General features: G+C 48.4%; 2 annotated features.

The window, feature by feature from the left end:
• Window positions 2,334-3,114: an enhancer, noted in NCBI's record as "H3K27ac-H3K4me1 hESC enhancer chr14:99860795-99861575 (GRCh37/hg19 assembly coordinates)". NCBI's record gives its function as "activates a minimal SCP1, AML or CMV promoter by ChIP-STARR-seq in naive H9 embryonic stem cells {active_cell/tissue: H9 hESC(naive)}" and the evidence as "EXISTENCE:reporter gene assay evidence [ECO:0000049][PMID:30033119]".
• Window positions 13,646-14,504: an enhancer, noted in NCBI's record as "H3K4me1 hESC enhancer chr14:99849405-99850263 (GRCh37/hg19 assembly coordinates)". NCBI's record gives its function as "activates a minimal SCP1, AML or CMV promoter by ChIP-STARR-seq in naive H9 embryonic stem cells {active_cell/tissue: H9 hESC(naive)}" and the evidence as "EXISTENCE:reporter gene assay evidence [ECO:0000049][PMID:30033119]".

Genomic DNA, 14,681 nt, shown 5'->3' with positions numbered 1-14,681 from the left:
TCAGCGTGCCCATCTATGCAGGCAGCGGGAACTCAAGAAAAGGAGTCCTTAGGATTTAGGGGAAGGAAAAGGTTGGGACCATGTCCTTGGGGTGGGAGAGGGATCTGTCTCCTTCTGCCACCAGTTTTCAGGTTTACTGATACCAGTTTTTCTTTACCACAAATTTTCACATTGTCTCTGATGTCCTAAGTACACCGCTGATTTTGAAAACGTGAATTATTCCCCCAAGTGTTTGATAAATGCTGCTGCAACACAGGTCGTCTTAAGGATGCTCTGGGAGTTTCTCTTGGGGAAGACATAGCTCTGCAGATCAATTGCCTAATCCCCCCTGACAGTTGAGATAAATTTAACTCTTTAAGGCGTTGCTTGCGTTGCTCAGCAGGTTAGTTTACCTGCTGCACTGGGCGCTGGAGGCAAGCTTCATGTCTGCGTGAGGCTGGGACATTTCCTGGCGTTGACGCCTGTACCTTTCCTAGCTTGTTGATGTATACCAGGAGGAAGCATGTGATTGCCACCTCTCGTATCAGCTTTACACCTGAGATACCTTACCAAAAATATTAAATAGTCTGTAAAGCTTAGTGTTAATTTCTAAAAGGCAATAGCATTGTAGTGCTTGAGTTTCCGACTCTAGAAGCCCCAGAGCCTTCTAGAACTTTGATGACCAATTTGTCCATAGAATTATCTTCTTATAGGATTAAAAGTTTCCAAGCCTAATAATAAAAAATCTTTTTTGAAAACATATATACAGTTCAAACATAAAATAACATCATGAGACAGCTGGGTTTTCAAACTATTCCCCGGCAAAGTTCGAGTTCCCGTGGAGCTGGGATAGCGCCAGACTGGGGTCGGGATCCCAAGCTCCTGTTCCGGCGCCACCTTTAATGGGTGTTGTGATGTCGGTTCCTGGGACCCAGTTTCTTCATTTACTTGTGAAAAGAATGGTACTAAATTGTCCAAAGTCCCTGCTTAAAAATTTAGCAGCTGTTTTTTCTGTCATTTCTCCATTGACAGACTTGGTCATTAAGGTTATTGGATCAAAAAGAGATGAAGTATGCTTCCAGTTGAGAACAGCCTCTGCATGACATAAAAATGGCGCCCACAAGAACGGAACTGTTTTGATGTCAGAAGACAGTATCTATTGAACAGCATTACTTTCCTGAGTTGGGTAGGATTGCCCTAAAATGACTCGCAAAGGCAGGCGAGACCACAGCACACATTAGTCATCCTCGTTGCCCCGCTGCGGTTCGGCAGCTCTAGTGCTGCCTGCACAGACACTTGGAGCTACAACTTAAGCATTTGAAAATTGAGGGAAAGTGATTAAATTGGCATTGAAGAACCCTCATTGCCGTCTGTCATGAAAATAGACCTTTCTCTCAAATCATTTTAAAGTTTACTTTCTTCTGAATGCTTTTGGATAAGAGGCTGTTCAGGCTAGTTACTGGAAACATGCCAGGCTCTGCTTCTGTTTCATTAGCTCTGTGTGTTATTTGTGTAAATAGTTAGCAATTAGATTTCACCGGCCTAGAAAAACCTCCCTGTTTTTCATGTAAACTGGCAATTGATAGGTGGTTTTTCCCCAGTAGTTTCTAGAAGAGGCTCACTAAGAGATGTCTGTAATTTTTTTTTTTTTGAGAGATGGGGTAAGACATTAAAAATAGTCCCAGGTTCCCAATATACAGAGTTATGCTAAATTAAACCTCCACTTAAAAATGAGGGAATCAATTTTCTGTAAATCATCAGTTATATTTTCTTTTTTCTTTTTCTTTAAGACAGAATCTCCCTCTGTCTCCCAGGCAGTGTCTCCCAGGCAGTGTCTCCCAGTGCAGTGGCACTGTGTCAGCTCACTGCAACCTCTATCTCCTGGGTTCAAGCAATTCTCCTGCCTCAGCCTCCTGAGTAGCTGGGATTAAAGGTGCCCACCACCACACCTGGCCAATTTTTTTTATTTTTTAGTCTCACCATGTTGGCCAGACTGGTCCCGATCTCCTGACCTCAGGTGACCCACCTGCCTCTGCCTCCCAAAGTGCTGGGAATATAGGTGTGAGCCACTGCACCCGGCCACCAGTTATATTTCCTTGGTGATTAATACGTACATTGTAGGAGCAAAAGAATAAAGCCAGTCCAATGAAAGTGCATGTGACTTGAGCTCAGAACCGAAATGGCACTGACTGTGAAGAAAATAGGGAATGATAGTGGTGGTTGGTTTGGAGGGTACTTTGCGGAGAGCCCGGATATGACAGTGTTGACGGTAACCCTAGCTGAAGTGAGCAGCTGCTTCTGCACCGTGCTCGTGTTATTATTGATCTGGCAAAACAAATGCGTGTAATGCGGGAGAGCTGCTAACCTGACCCAGGAATTTGACTCATTTTTATTTAAATGTCAATTTGAGGTGGGTGTAGGATAGGATCCAGTAATGTCATTAAGGGTCACCCTACTATTTTAATCAGCAGCCCCTTATCTAATATATTCCTAAAATTCTGTGTATAAATTGAATTTGAATAACTTGAATTGTATTTAAATGCACTGGCAAATTTGTTATTTAAATGAAGCTGCCCTGCTGGTCCTGGGTGTGCTTGGGCTGGAGAGAGGAAGTCTTAGCAGGGACATGATCTTCCTGTCTTCACAGATTTGAAGAGCTGTTGCCTGAAGGAGGGGTGAGACTCATTCTGGGTCTGCAAAAGGCACAGCTAGGGCCAGGGGTTGGGTGGCGGAATTCAGCCAAGGGAGGGAGCACTCCCTAACGCCTGCTGTGAGAGAGCACATGCCTGCTGCTCTGGAGGTGAGCAGGCGCAGCCATCGGGGTGTATGGACCACTCAGACCTGGTTCCAGGCATGGGATCCTGGGCCAGTTGTTAGGAGCTTCTGTCACCCCCTTCAGGGAGCCTCACACTCTCTACCTCAGCAGTGCCGGGTGCGTTGAAAAGCTGCGTGCCGCGCCTGTACCTGTTAAACAGCCAGTGAATGCTTGTGATGACCATCTTCTAAGCCGGAGCCACTACCAGGAAGCAGGAGATGTTCTTGAGACTGGGGATAGCAAAATCATCCATGCTTTGCCAGCAAGCGGCGTGTGTCATCTGTCCATTGATTTGGGAACCTCGGCCCTGGACCTAGCAACAGTTGTGTTCTTAGTGGAACACAGATTCTGTGGGTAATTCAGACTCAAGAAGCCCTGCCCTTGAGGCACTGAGGCAGACGTCTGAACGGTAGGCGTGGCAGAGCATACCAGGCTGTGAACGGGTGGACCCACGTGGCTGGGCTTAGGGCTCTGTTTGTGAGATATGGAGGTGGGGTGAGCCCTTGAGGGTAAGGAGGGAGGCAGGGAAGAACCAGCCATGAACAGGAGGGGCTGAGAAGTTCAGGCTTCTTGGGGGGAATCCAGCGAAGATGCTGGTCACTGGTTCCTGACTGCAGTGCTGGTGCCCCGGTGCCTGCAGGGAGAGCACGCGTGCAGTTGTGCCACTCTCGTAATGGATGGACTTCAGGAGGGCGCCTCCCGGTGATTGCTGCTCCCTTCACAGATGCCACCCTTAGTAGATGCCTTAGAAACAAGGTGAAAGGACTGGGAAGCCCCTGTGTGTGGACTCAGTAGCAGTTTATGGAGGTGGGAACCTTAACTCAGGTCATGACACCACTGTCCATCAGCTCTTGGTCTTTATTTAACAGCCTCGTGATACCCTCTCACTTCTGGGCAGCTTTTCTTGGCCCAAATGCAGGCGTATCTGTGTGTGCACGCACATGTGTGTCACCTATTTCTGTATAAACCTACTTGGTATATATGAGCACATACATACACACATATGAATACATATATATGTGTGTGTATAGAAAACTTTCCCCAAACTCATATTCTTCCCCCTTAGGCAACAGAGAAGCTCCTCAACATGGGTTAGGCCAAACTTGACAGGAAAATGAACGTGGAAATGCTGGTGCTGGTGAGGCCCTGTGTGTCCCCACCTGGCTGTTTGAATTCCTAGAGTCTTGTACAGCACCTGGTGCAGAGTGCGGGCTCTGGGGAGGCTTCCAGACTGACCGAACAACCATAACCAAGTGGGAGGCCCGCGTGCCTCCGAAGTCCCAGGGTGGCGTTAAAATCACACTCCTTTCTTCTCTCTCCATTTCCTCGCTCTCCTCTCTTTGCTTCCTGTTTCTGCCGCTTGTACCTGACTCCTCAAGAGTGTTCTGGTAGAAAAGGATCAAGTTGTGGCTTGAACCTCAACCATTCTTCTCCATTTTAATGAGGTTCCGGAGGAGCTCCTTGTAGGATCCCAGAGTCAGTTTAAAGTCCTAGGAAGGCACCTGGAGGATGCGTGAGGGTGAGCTCCCCCTGCCGGCTGTGCCTCTTTCTGCAGGGTGTGCAGAGCTTCCCACCCTCACACTCCACCCGTCATTCATGCAAAACTTACTCTTCAAGAAGGAACCAATGAGCAGATTCTCCCCTCAGTGTCTAGTCCATGAAGAGTGTTTGCACTTTAGCCCATACACAAAATTTTAGCCCAGAGAAGCAGCTCATCCCAAACATGGGCTTTGAAATCTGCAGAACCTGAAGTATAATCCGGACCCCCTACCTTCCCCTATCATCTGTGACCCCCGCGCAAGTTTCTTGATGCGCAGGGTGTTGGTTTTCTCATCTGCAAAATGGAATAACCCCAGGAGGTTGCTGCGGTAATAGATGTAAATCTGGCACAGTGCCTGGGACACAGTAGCTATCCAATGGTTGGTTCCCACTGTGACTGGCTGAGCGATGTCAGTCAGCCCAAGATCTGGACTAATGGCAGACTGGAGGCACATTCTGAGTTGCGGGGGTTTCTGTGGGTGGTGAAATATTCCCCTCAGCCGCGTGGCTTCAACATGTGGACCTCCTGTCCATACCCAACTGTCACATTCTCCGTGCCTTTCCCAGACTTGGCACGTATCTCAAACGGAAAATATTTGGTGACTGACTTTATACATACATATATATATTTCATTATGAGCTACCATCCAGCAAGCACCTGTGAATTTCTTGGCTTTAAGTTTTCAAGCAACTCTAAACAAACCCTCCCCTAAATGCATCTGCAAATGACAACTTATTGAGCAGCAAGAGATGGCAGTTACGATTGTGTGCCACCCCAACCAGCCTAGTTTTGGAAATAATAACCCTAGCTGGCACCAGGAAATAATACGCTAGCACCGGAAGATGTTGTCAGGTGAATCCTGAAATGCGTCTAGAAAAACAGTTCTTGCTTTCTCATACAAAAATTAAAATGTTTGTTTTATTTTGGTCATCGACAATTGTCAAAACAACTAGCATTGGGCTAATGTTATCTAATATAAGTGTTGACACCATTAAGGCTGCAGTATAATTAGTCAGGAAATGTAGTCATAACACTCCTTGGATTTTCAAAGGACCAGAATGGGTGTTTTTGAAAAGTTGTATCGGGGGAAAAAGGAAAAAGGAATTGTATTTCCTGCTTTGCGCTTGCGTGATGAGTATCAGCCTAGATCAGACTCAGGGTGGTTAATAACCTCCTTCCCTTCTTACAGCCCTGCTCTTAAAAAGCAGGTGCTACGACAGAAACCCCGACACACTGCAGGCTGTCACCAAGGTGGTGCTTTACATAAAAGCGCTTTACAGTGTTATTTTGCAAGACTTGAGCCCTGAGTGGATACTGAGTGTGGAGCAGCCTGGTTTTGTACATTTTTGCCACATGTTGAGATGCCATGGGAGCTGGTGACTCACGCGCCACCGACGTTCACAAAAGCTCCCGGCTCGGAGCAGAGCATTGAAGGGAAGGGTCTGGCTGCTTGGCGTATGTTAACCAGGCTGGGTACTGAGCGTCTTAAAAGCCAAGCCACGTTTGCCTTTCAACTTTACTTTGTGGTGACGAAAGAGGAGGTCTCTTTCTTCAGGGGCTTACTCAGCGCTGCTGGATCTGAAGATGCCCGGGAGGAGGGTGAGGGGTGAAAAGGGCATCCTAAGGCAGGATGGGACACAGCGGCCTCTCCAGCTTAACTCAGTATTCTCTGAGGCACAGAATACTGGAGATCTGAGACCCCTGAGGTGCAAGCCCTCCCCTCAAGGATCTAAGCAGGTGGTGGGCTGCCGCTGGCTTCTCCCCACAGCTGGTGGGGGGCAGAAGCCCTGTTCCACAGGCGACAAGTGTGGGTCCCAGCCATCATGTTTAGCCAATGGTCTTGTCCGTGTTTTCTCCCCAAAAACGCTTTGAGTTAGTGATGACGTCCACTGATTCACCCAGCACTTACTTGAGCATCTCATGCGCTGGGCACCACACTAGGCTCTGGGGCCAAATGACACAGGGTGCTTGTCGGCGAGGAGCTTGTGGAGGAACAGGATGGCCTCCTGGGCCGAGCTGTGTCCAAGCTAGCTCTTAATATATGCTCCACTTTCCTAATCTTAATGGAAAATAGGCTGGATGGACTTTTAATCTCCACTTTATACAAAATTGTGGATTACCTGTATGTTCTTAGTCTGACTTATTTTTTTCCCCTCGTAGGGGTTCATTTCTGTTACCAAACAACAGAGAAGTTGAGTGTCTGATTTTCCCCCAACAATGCAAGTACTTGAAAGCTCGCCTCAGGAAGCTAGGATCACCTTCATGTTTGTAGATACTACATTTCCAGTTTTCTAACATCCTGAGATCTCCCAAATGAGTGATGCAGTTACAAGAGGGGACCTAGGCATCATAGCTTTGGGGTGACCCATAAGTGACAGTGAAGTCCCTGTTTCCTTTGCTGCAACTGAAGCCTGTTATGATATTGGTGTACGGAACTAGTCCCGCTTCCCAGTACTGGTTTGCAAACATCTATTTTTAAAGTGATGACATTTTAAAAACCACCTCTTATTCCCATTTGGGGTTCAGTTGACTGTCAGCAGTAACCGAGAAAAATCACGCCAGCCACACGTACTTCAGTATCTTAAATGGGCAGTTCACAAGGCAGTTGGAGGATCTGTGTTCATTGATGGGCCACATCTGAGTGTAGAATCTTATGTTTCTGTTTCATTCCTGTGACAAGTTTTGTTGACTGCCCCAGCTGCCTGTGGCCAAAGCAGCTAGGATCTTTGTTCATGAACATTTTAATGTTTAGAAATCCAAATGAAAAATAAACCTCCCTAAAACAAACAAAATGACTCCCATAGGCTTCAAATAATCCTCCAGGCTATCTCTAAGGAAGCCAGGATTTCCAGCAGCAATTAAATTGCATGATTGGATACAGGGAAAATGTTATAATTGCTCACAGGTAGCAATTTATTAGGATAGATGTTACTTATGACATGTGTCAAAAAGGTCAAAGTTTATACTTCCTTGGACATTAACCTAACCTTCGAAACTCTAAAAGTTACACTTTTTGGTCATTAATTTTTTTTTTACAAGCAGAGATTTTGACAATTAACCCAGTTAATAAAGGTCAAATTTCAATTTTTTCCAATTTCTGGAGCATTTAAATTATTCCTTTTTGAAAATGGGAAGATAGAGGATGATAAATAGTTATTAAATGAGTACAAGGATGTAGTTCTGCTGTCAGGGTGGTGATTATAAAACAGCTGATACTGGAAGAATAGAATTGCTGTGTATCTGATTGGAAGGAAAGTAGATTACAAGCAGAGGAAATAGAAAAATTAAGCCCAAATAATGTGTGCAGTTAGTAGGATAATGTGGGTATATGCGCTTGTTAAATCATCTCAGGATTCTAGTCATTCAATTATGTAGACTTCAGGCTTCAACTATTGAATCTGCACATTTTAAAATAAGTAATTTCTGCAAACTTGCAACAAAGTACAACTTGGGTTAAAAACCGTTTGTCGCCCACCAGGCAGCATCCCTCAGATGAATCTAAAGAGGGGCAAACAACAGTCAGCGCAGCCAAAGCCCGCTGGTAGGGAGGTCGGGACGCACTGGACCGCCCTTCCTCCACCCCACAGCCAGCACAGCCCCCAGACGGCCGGGGCAGCTGTGTGGGTGAGGAAGGGGGTTTTAGAACCTGTCATGTGTGGGAAATGGCAGAGAAAGTCCACACAGCCCTCCTCTGCCACTCCAGCAGTACAAACCAAGCCTCCCTGTCCACCCTGGTCAAAACCAAATGACCCACACGCCCTCCCTTTATCCCCGGGGAGCGCCCCTGGGAATTCCCGTATCCCTGCTCCGCTCGCGCCCCCTGGTGGCGGTGCCGCCCGCCGGGTGCCGCCCAGGGAGCTCTAAGTAGAGGCCTTGGGTTCCGTTCCACTGAGCAGGTACCTTCCTGGACCCGGCCAGACACTTGAGACAAGAGGTGGCTTTTTGTTTTTTGAGACAGGGTCTCACTCTGTTGACCAGGCTGAGTGCAGTGGTGTGATCTTGGCTCACTGCAGCCTCAACCTTCCAGGCTCAAGTGAACCTCCCACCTTAGCCTCCCGAGTAGCTGGGACTACAGGCGTGCACCGCCATGCCCAGCTAATTTTTTGGTTTTGTTTTGTTTTTTTGAGAGAGAGTCTCGCTCTGTCACCCAGGCTGGAATGCAGTGGTGCAATTTTGGCTCACTGCGACCTCCGCCTCCTGGGTTCAAGTGATTCTCTGCCTCAGGCTCCTGAGTAGCTGGGATTACAGGCGCCTGCCACCATTCCCGGCTAATTTTTGTATTTTTAGTAGGGGTTTCACTATGTTGGCCAGTCTGGTCTTGAACTCCTGACCTCGTGATCCGCCCACCTCAGCCTTCCAAAGTGCTGGGATTACAGGCTTGAGCCACCGCGCCCGGCCTTTCTTTTTTTTCTTTTCTTTTTTTTTTTTTTTTTGTAGAGACGGGGTCTTGTTACGTTGCCGGCCTCCACCTCTCAAAGTGCTGGGATTACAGGCGTGAGCTACCATGCCCGGCCAAGAGCTGGTTCGTTGTTCTTTGTTTGCATTGGGTACATTTGGGATTTCTTGCTCCTGTTTATTGCATAAATAAAGGCTTCTCCGTATAGATGTGCTCCACGTTAAATAACCAATATATAAAACAAGCTTGCGCTGCATCTATGTATTCAACAAGCACAAGGAGCCAGCACCTGCCTCCTCTGCCCCTGGCCTCTCGTCCAGCCCAGTTCTCTGTGTTTAAACTCAGCGGTGATGCCCCATGTCGCTGCACGGTGTAGTGCCCTTGCTGCACCGATTTTCTTTTGCAGGTGTCATTCGAGGCCCTGTGTATCGCCAGGGCTGTGTCCAGCCTGGCTCTGTGTTGTGGCTATTCCTTGCACATAGTAGGTGCCCAGAAAATGCTGAAGAAAAAAGAAAGTCCAGCCGGGCGCAGTGGCTCATGTCTATAATCCCAACACTTTGGGAGGATGAGGTGGGTGGATGACCTGAGGTCTGGAGTTTGAGACCAGCCTGACCAACATGGAGAAATCCCATCTCTACTAAACATACAAAATTAGCCAGGTGCGGTGGCACATACCTGTAATCCCAGCTACTCAGGAGGCTGAGGCAGAAAAATCACTTGAACCTCCGTGGTGGAGGTTGTGGTGAGCCAAGATCGCGCCACTGCACTCCAGCGTGGACAACAAAAGTGAAACTAAGTCTCAAAAAAAAACAAAAAAAAAAAAAAGAAAGTTCAAGCCACTTAGCTCAGCAAGAAGCCTTGAGGCTGTGAACTAAAAAGAAAAAAAAAGTCTTTAAAATTTTTGGGAAACTGTTAAGAATGGTGACTTTGACTATAATACTTTACTCTAACAATTCCATCAACATTATGCATGTGGACAGATGCTTGGAAGGATGGGAACACAGGGTGGTCACTTATTTTTAAGAAGGATATATCACTTTACCAAAGATTTGTAGTCAGGTGACAGAAATGGGGTTTGGTTTACACAAGTGTTAGCAACCAGTCCTGGAAACTCGTGCTGTGTGCCACAGATGTCACCTGCACAGGGATACCATGAAAAGGAAGAGACGGAGAGCAGCATTGGTGGCTCCTGAAATACCCCAGACGCTGCACACCATGTTAAACCTGAGCACCCTTGATGCTTTGAACCCTTCGTGGGTTAAAACAGGCTGTCATGCCTTAGCTAGGAAGCTGTTCAAAAAGGTGACTTTGACCTTGCATTTTCCTTCCTTTTAACCTTCACCATTCATACAGGGGCTGCTCCGAAGTCTGCAAGAAGCGACTTTCCTAGCTCCTTCCTCCTGGTGGTCTCTCCTCATACCATCTTCCCCTCCTCTTCCCTCTGGCTCCAGCCTGCCTGATATGGTGTGGCTGTGTTCCCACCCAAATCTCATCTTGAATTGTAGTTCCCATAATCCCCACGTGTCGTGGGAGGGACCTGGTGGGAGGTAACTTAATCATGGGGATGGTTACCCCCGTGCTGTTCACATGATAGTGAGTTCTCATGAGATCTGATGGTTTAATAAGGGGCTTCTCCCCCTTTTGCTTGGCACTTCTCCTTGCTGCTGCCATGTGAAGAAGGACGTGTTTGCTTCCCCTTCCACCATGATTGTAAGTTTCCTGAGGCCTCCCTAGCCCTACAGAACTGAGTCAATTAAACCTCTTTCCTTTATAAATAATTACCCAGTCTCGGTTATGTCCTTATAGCAGCATGGGAACAGACTAATTCACCGCCCTTCCAGTCTCCCCTTGTCCATCAATGCCATTATTAGTTACTGCATTGCTCATCTCCCTTTTCTGATAGGTGGGAAATGGTATTTTATTGTATCTACAATTTGCTCCATACCTACAGGGGCCAGACTCCCCCAAATGGATGGGCTGATCTGGGCACATCGGTGGGGCAAGTGCCCCCCTTGGGGGCGCCTAGAGGAGGAGATGTGGGAGCTTGGCCCCAGCAGACGGCAGTTTTCCCAGTGGACAAAGAAGCAGGGCAGTGCGTGGCAGTGCTGGGGCTGAGCCGAAGTGGAGAAGGAACCTCCTGAAAGAGAAAGGAGGCTCATTCCAGAGTCTCCCATACCAGACAGAAGCAGCTCGGCTCCTCCCTTCAGGGGCCGGGGGTAGGGGCTCGCTGAATTCCAGCGTGATCTTTGTGGGGCATTAGGGGACTAGTTGTCCTGGAGAGATGCTCAGGTGTCCCAGCAGTGGACCCCAGGGGAGGCGGGAGGCCCAGCCTTCCAACAGCACAAAAAGTAAGGGCATGTCTGAGACGGGGGCAAGCCTGATGACAGTGGGCTGGCAGGGCCCAGGACCATGTGGGCCGTAGCGTGGGGCAGGGATGCCATGATCCTAAATGGCTTGAGGGCCAGGAGCAGGTTTCCTGGGGAAGAAATAAGCACCCTCTCCCCACCCCTGTAAAGCCACCAGGTTGAGGTGACAAGAGGTATGAGCCCTGGAGGAAGGTGGGCTCATGCCAACTCTTCCTCCACTGCCTTTTCGATCTTTGCAGGGTTATTTAATTGCACTTCAGCTTCTCCATCTGTAAAATGGGAGTGCAGTGAAGGAACACAAAGTACCAGGGCTGAATCTACACACTGGAACATGACCCTTCCCCCTTCTCCGACCGTCCCTCTGTGTACACATGGGAGGAGCATGGCCTCAGGAACTCACCAAGACATAAATCCCCGTCTTCATGAAGCAGGGTGTTTAGCTGAATTTAGGCAAATCTGTCCAAATTTAAATGAGCCACCTGTGTAAGTGACTCCCTTTATAATCCTTTCAGACACTGCAGTGAGCTAGCCCTGTCTTGCATTTCCAGCAGAACCCGCTCTGTCCCCTGCCTGCTCTTTTGCTCCCACAGAGTCTGTGTGAACTAAGAACTGCATCCAAGCATGGGAAACAGCTTTCTAACCATTCCTCAAAACCCAAACACAATAAAAATGAGTATATTTGCAAAAATTGCATGACAAAAAAACTCCATCATAAGAAAAGTGACATTTTCCCCAATAAACTGGGAGAAAATATGTCTATGACAGAGAAAGGATTAGTATTTCTACTATATAAAGAACTCAACTGAGGGACAAAGGACCAAAAACTTGAAAGAAACCTGGGAAAAAGGCATGAACAGACAATTCACACGCATAAAAAAGTCATCAAACAAGAAAACATGTCCAAATTCATTCACTGAAAACTGCAATTTAAAGCCACACGGAGATACCATTTCCCACCTATCAGATTAACGGAAGTCAAACCACCACCTTGCATTCTGTTGGCGAGGCTGCAGAGAACAGATATTTTCTTGTGCAGCTGGTGGAGATGCAAATTAATATAACCCTTTGAAGGGAATTTGGCAATACCAAACAGCCCCATAAACATGTACCTTTCAATGCACCAATCTCACTTCTAGGAATCTATCCTGAATGTACAACTCCAACAAAAATAGATGCACACAGGTTATTTATTACAACATTGTAATTGGCAGACACCTCTTGAACCAACAGAATCAAGGTCAACATCACCAGTGATAAGGCATTGGCAGCATGAACCCGCATATGGGGCACTGAGGAGGACCCAACGTCACTTCTGTGGGATTCTTGCCAAAAATGCACAACTTCCATCCAAAACGGAATATCAGACAAACAAACTGAGGGACATTTGATAAAATAACTGAAAAATGCTCTTCCAAAGTGTCAGGATCACGCAAGACTAAGACTGAGGAGCTGCCACAGATTGGAGAGCACAAAGGAGACATGCGGACTGAGCAATGTGGGACCCCAGACAGGACCCTGGAAGGGAAGAGGGACGTTCGTGGGAAAACGGTGCAGTCGGAATCAGGTGTGCAGTCGAGTTAACAGTATTGCACATTGGTGACATCCCCGGTTTGCTGATTATACTTGGGTTATGTAAGCTGTGCACTGGAGCGGGGGCTGGGGGAGGGATATAGGGAGAATCTGTACTATTTCTACGGCTTTTCTGAAAGCCTGAAATTAGTTCAAAAACAAAACAACACAAACCCCGTGTCTTGGCCAAGCCTGCCTGGGTTTCAGTCCCCACCCTGCTCCCGCCCACCGTGCGTCCAGGTCCTAGTCCTCCCCTTTGCACGGGTGGGGAAGCTCCCAGAACAGCGCCCAGGGCTGGTGGCTGCATTCTGGGGGCACTGGGAAATCAACTGCGAGGCTGCACAGAGAGTTTTAACATTTCTCTTTTTGAAGTACAGCAAGAACTGCAGACAAATCTGTAGCTGTGCATAAGGGTCCAAGTGTTGCTTTGTTTTTCAAATGAAATACTGAGAGACTGGTAGACCACACAAAGGAAAGAGGACAGGGTTTTGCAGGCAATTTAAAAAACGCAGCCAATAGCAACACAGGCTGGTGCTCCATCTCCGGGGGAAGGGGAGGAACATGTGCTGAGCCTTCTCTGTGTGGGGGTTTGCAGGTGCTGGCCCCTGCACCCAACCAGGCTCAGGGGCAGGCGGGGGCTCCAGCGCCCCATCCCCGCCTCCCTCTGGGCCTGAATGTCCTGGAATGCCCTCCCGCTACGTCTGCCTGGCCTCCTTTCTTTCCAACTCTGGTGATCCTCTCTTTTGCTGCCTGAGCCCTTCCCTGTGCAGGCCCCACTAGCTCCATAACCTTGACCCTGCATAGGTGCTGGTTAATAGTTTCCTTCCGAGGCCGCCCTTGGCAACTGGCAGAGATGGGAGGAAGAAATAATGGGACAAATTTCCAAGTGCTGTCGTATGTATTGGGCATTTACCATGTGCCAAGCACCTGTCGGAGCCACTGCCATGGTCTCCGCTTGACAGATGAGTAAGCTGAGGCCCAACGGGTTTAGTGTGTGTGCGCGTACATGTGCAAACGTGTGCGTGCATGGGCATGTGAGCGCATGGGTGTGTGAACGTGTGTGTGAATGTGTGCATGTGAGCGTGAGAGCACACGTATGAATGTGTGTGAGGATGTGTGCATGCATGCATGTGTGCACGTGTGAGTGTGTGACGGGGACCCAGCTGGCCGGCTACAGAGCCAGGTCTTCACCACGTGCACCACCGGCTCCCTCAACAACACTGCAACCCATGACTTCCATAGAAAGAACTGGGCCCAGAGAGGCTTGTGACTCGCCAAGCGCACCCACAGCTCACAAAGAGACGGGGCAGGGCTTCCCGCCTGTGCTCCACCCAAGCAGCGGATCAGCCCTGGTGGTTTAGGAGCGGCCCTTCCGAAAGGACCAAGAAGCGCCTTGCCGTGGGCCTGGGTCCTTTTTCTGTGCGGGGTGTGGCTCGGATGGTGCTTCCTCCAAATGCGTCGTCCCTTCCCCTGCCTTCGTGGCCTTAGCAGCTCTTGAATGTTTGTTTTTATGTCTGCTTCCAGCACTAAACTGCGGCTGCCTGTAGGTCAGATACTTGCCCCACTCAGCTTAGAGACGTTCCTATTTCTAAACCCTGAGTCATACCCAGCGCTCTGCCCGGAGGGTGTTCATTTCTCCACCCAGGGTGACCAGGGCCTTGCACTGCCTCGCTGAATCCTCATGGCTTGGACACTTCTTACTTCTCCATCAAATTGCAAGGATCCTTCCACCCCATGCCCTTTAAGGATAAGGCTGAATTCCTATGCCCAGGAAGAATGTAGATTTTATTACCCCCATTTTCCACAGGAGGAAAACTGAAGCCCAGAGAGGTCCAACTCATTCCCTCACATTCGCGCAGGCCTTTGCAAGGTTCAGAAGGCCTTGTGATGCATCGATGACTCCAGCGCATCCCAGGAGAGCCCTGAGGCGTGGACCGGACCTGGAAGGTTGGCCCATTATAAGGATGAGTGGTCACTTGGTCACTTGCTTCGGGACTCTAGTCCCATTCTCTTTCC

This window comes from Homo sapiens, chromosome 14 (assembly GCF_000001405.40).
Source record: "Homo sapiens chromosome 14, GRCh38.p14 Primary Assembly".
Taxonomy (NCBI): Eukaryota; Metazoa; Chordata; class Mammalia; order Primates; family Hominidae; genus Homo; species Homo sapiens.
The sequence above is the reverse complement of the archived record's forward strand: the minus strand, read 5'-3'. Positions and strand labels throughout refer to the sequence as shown.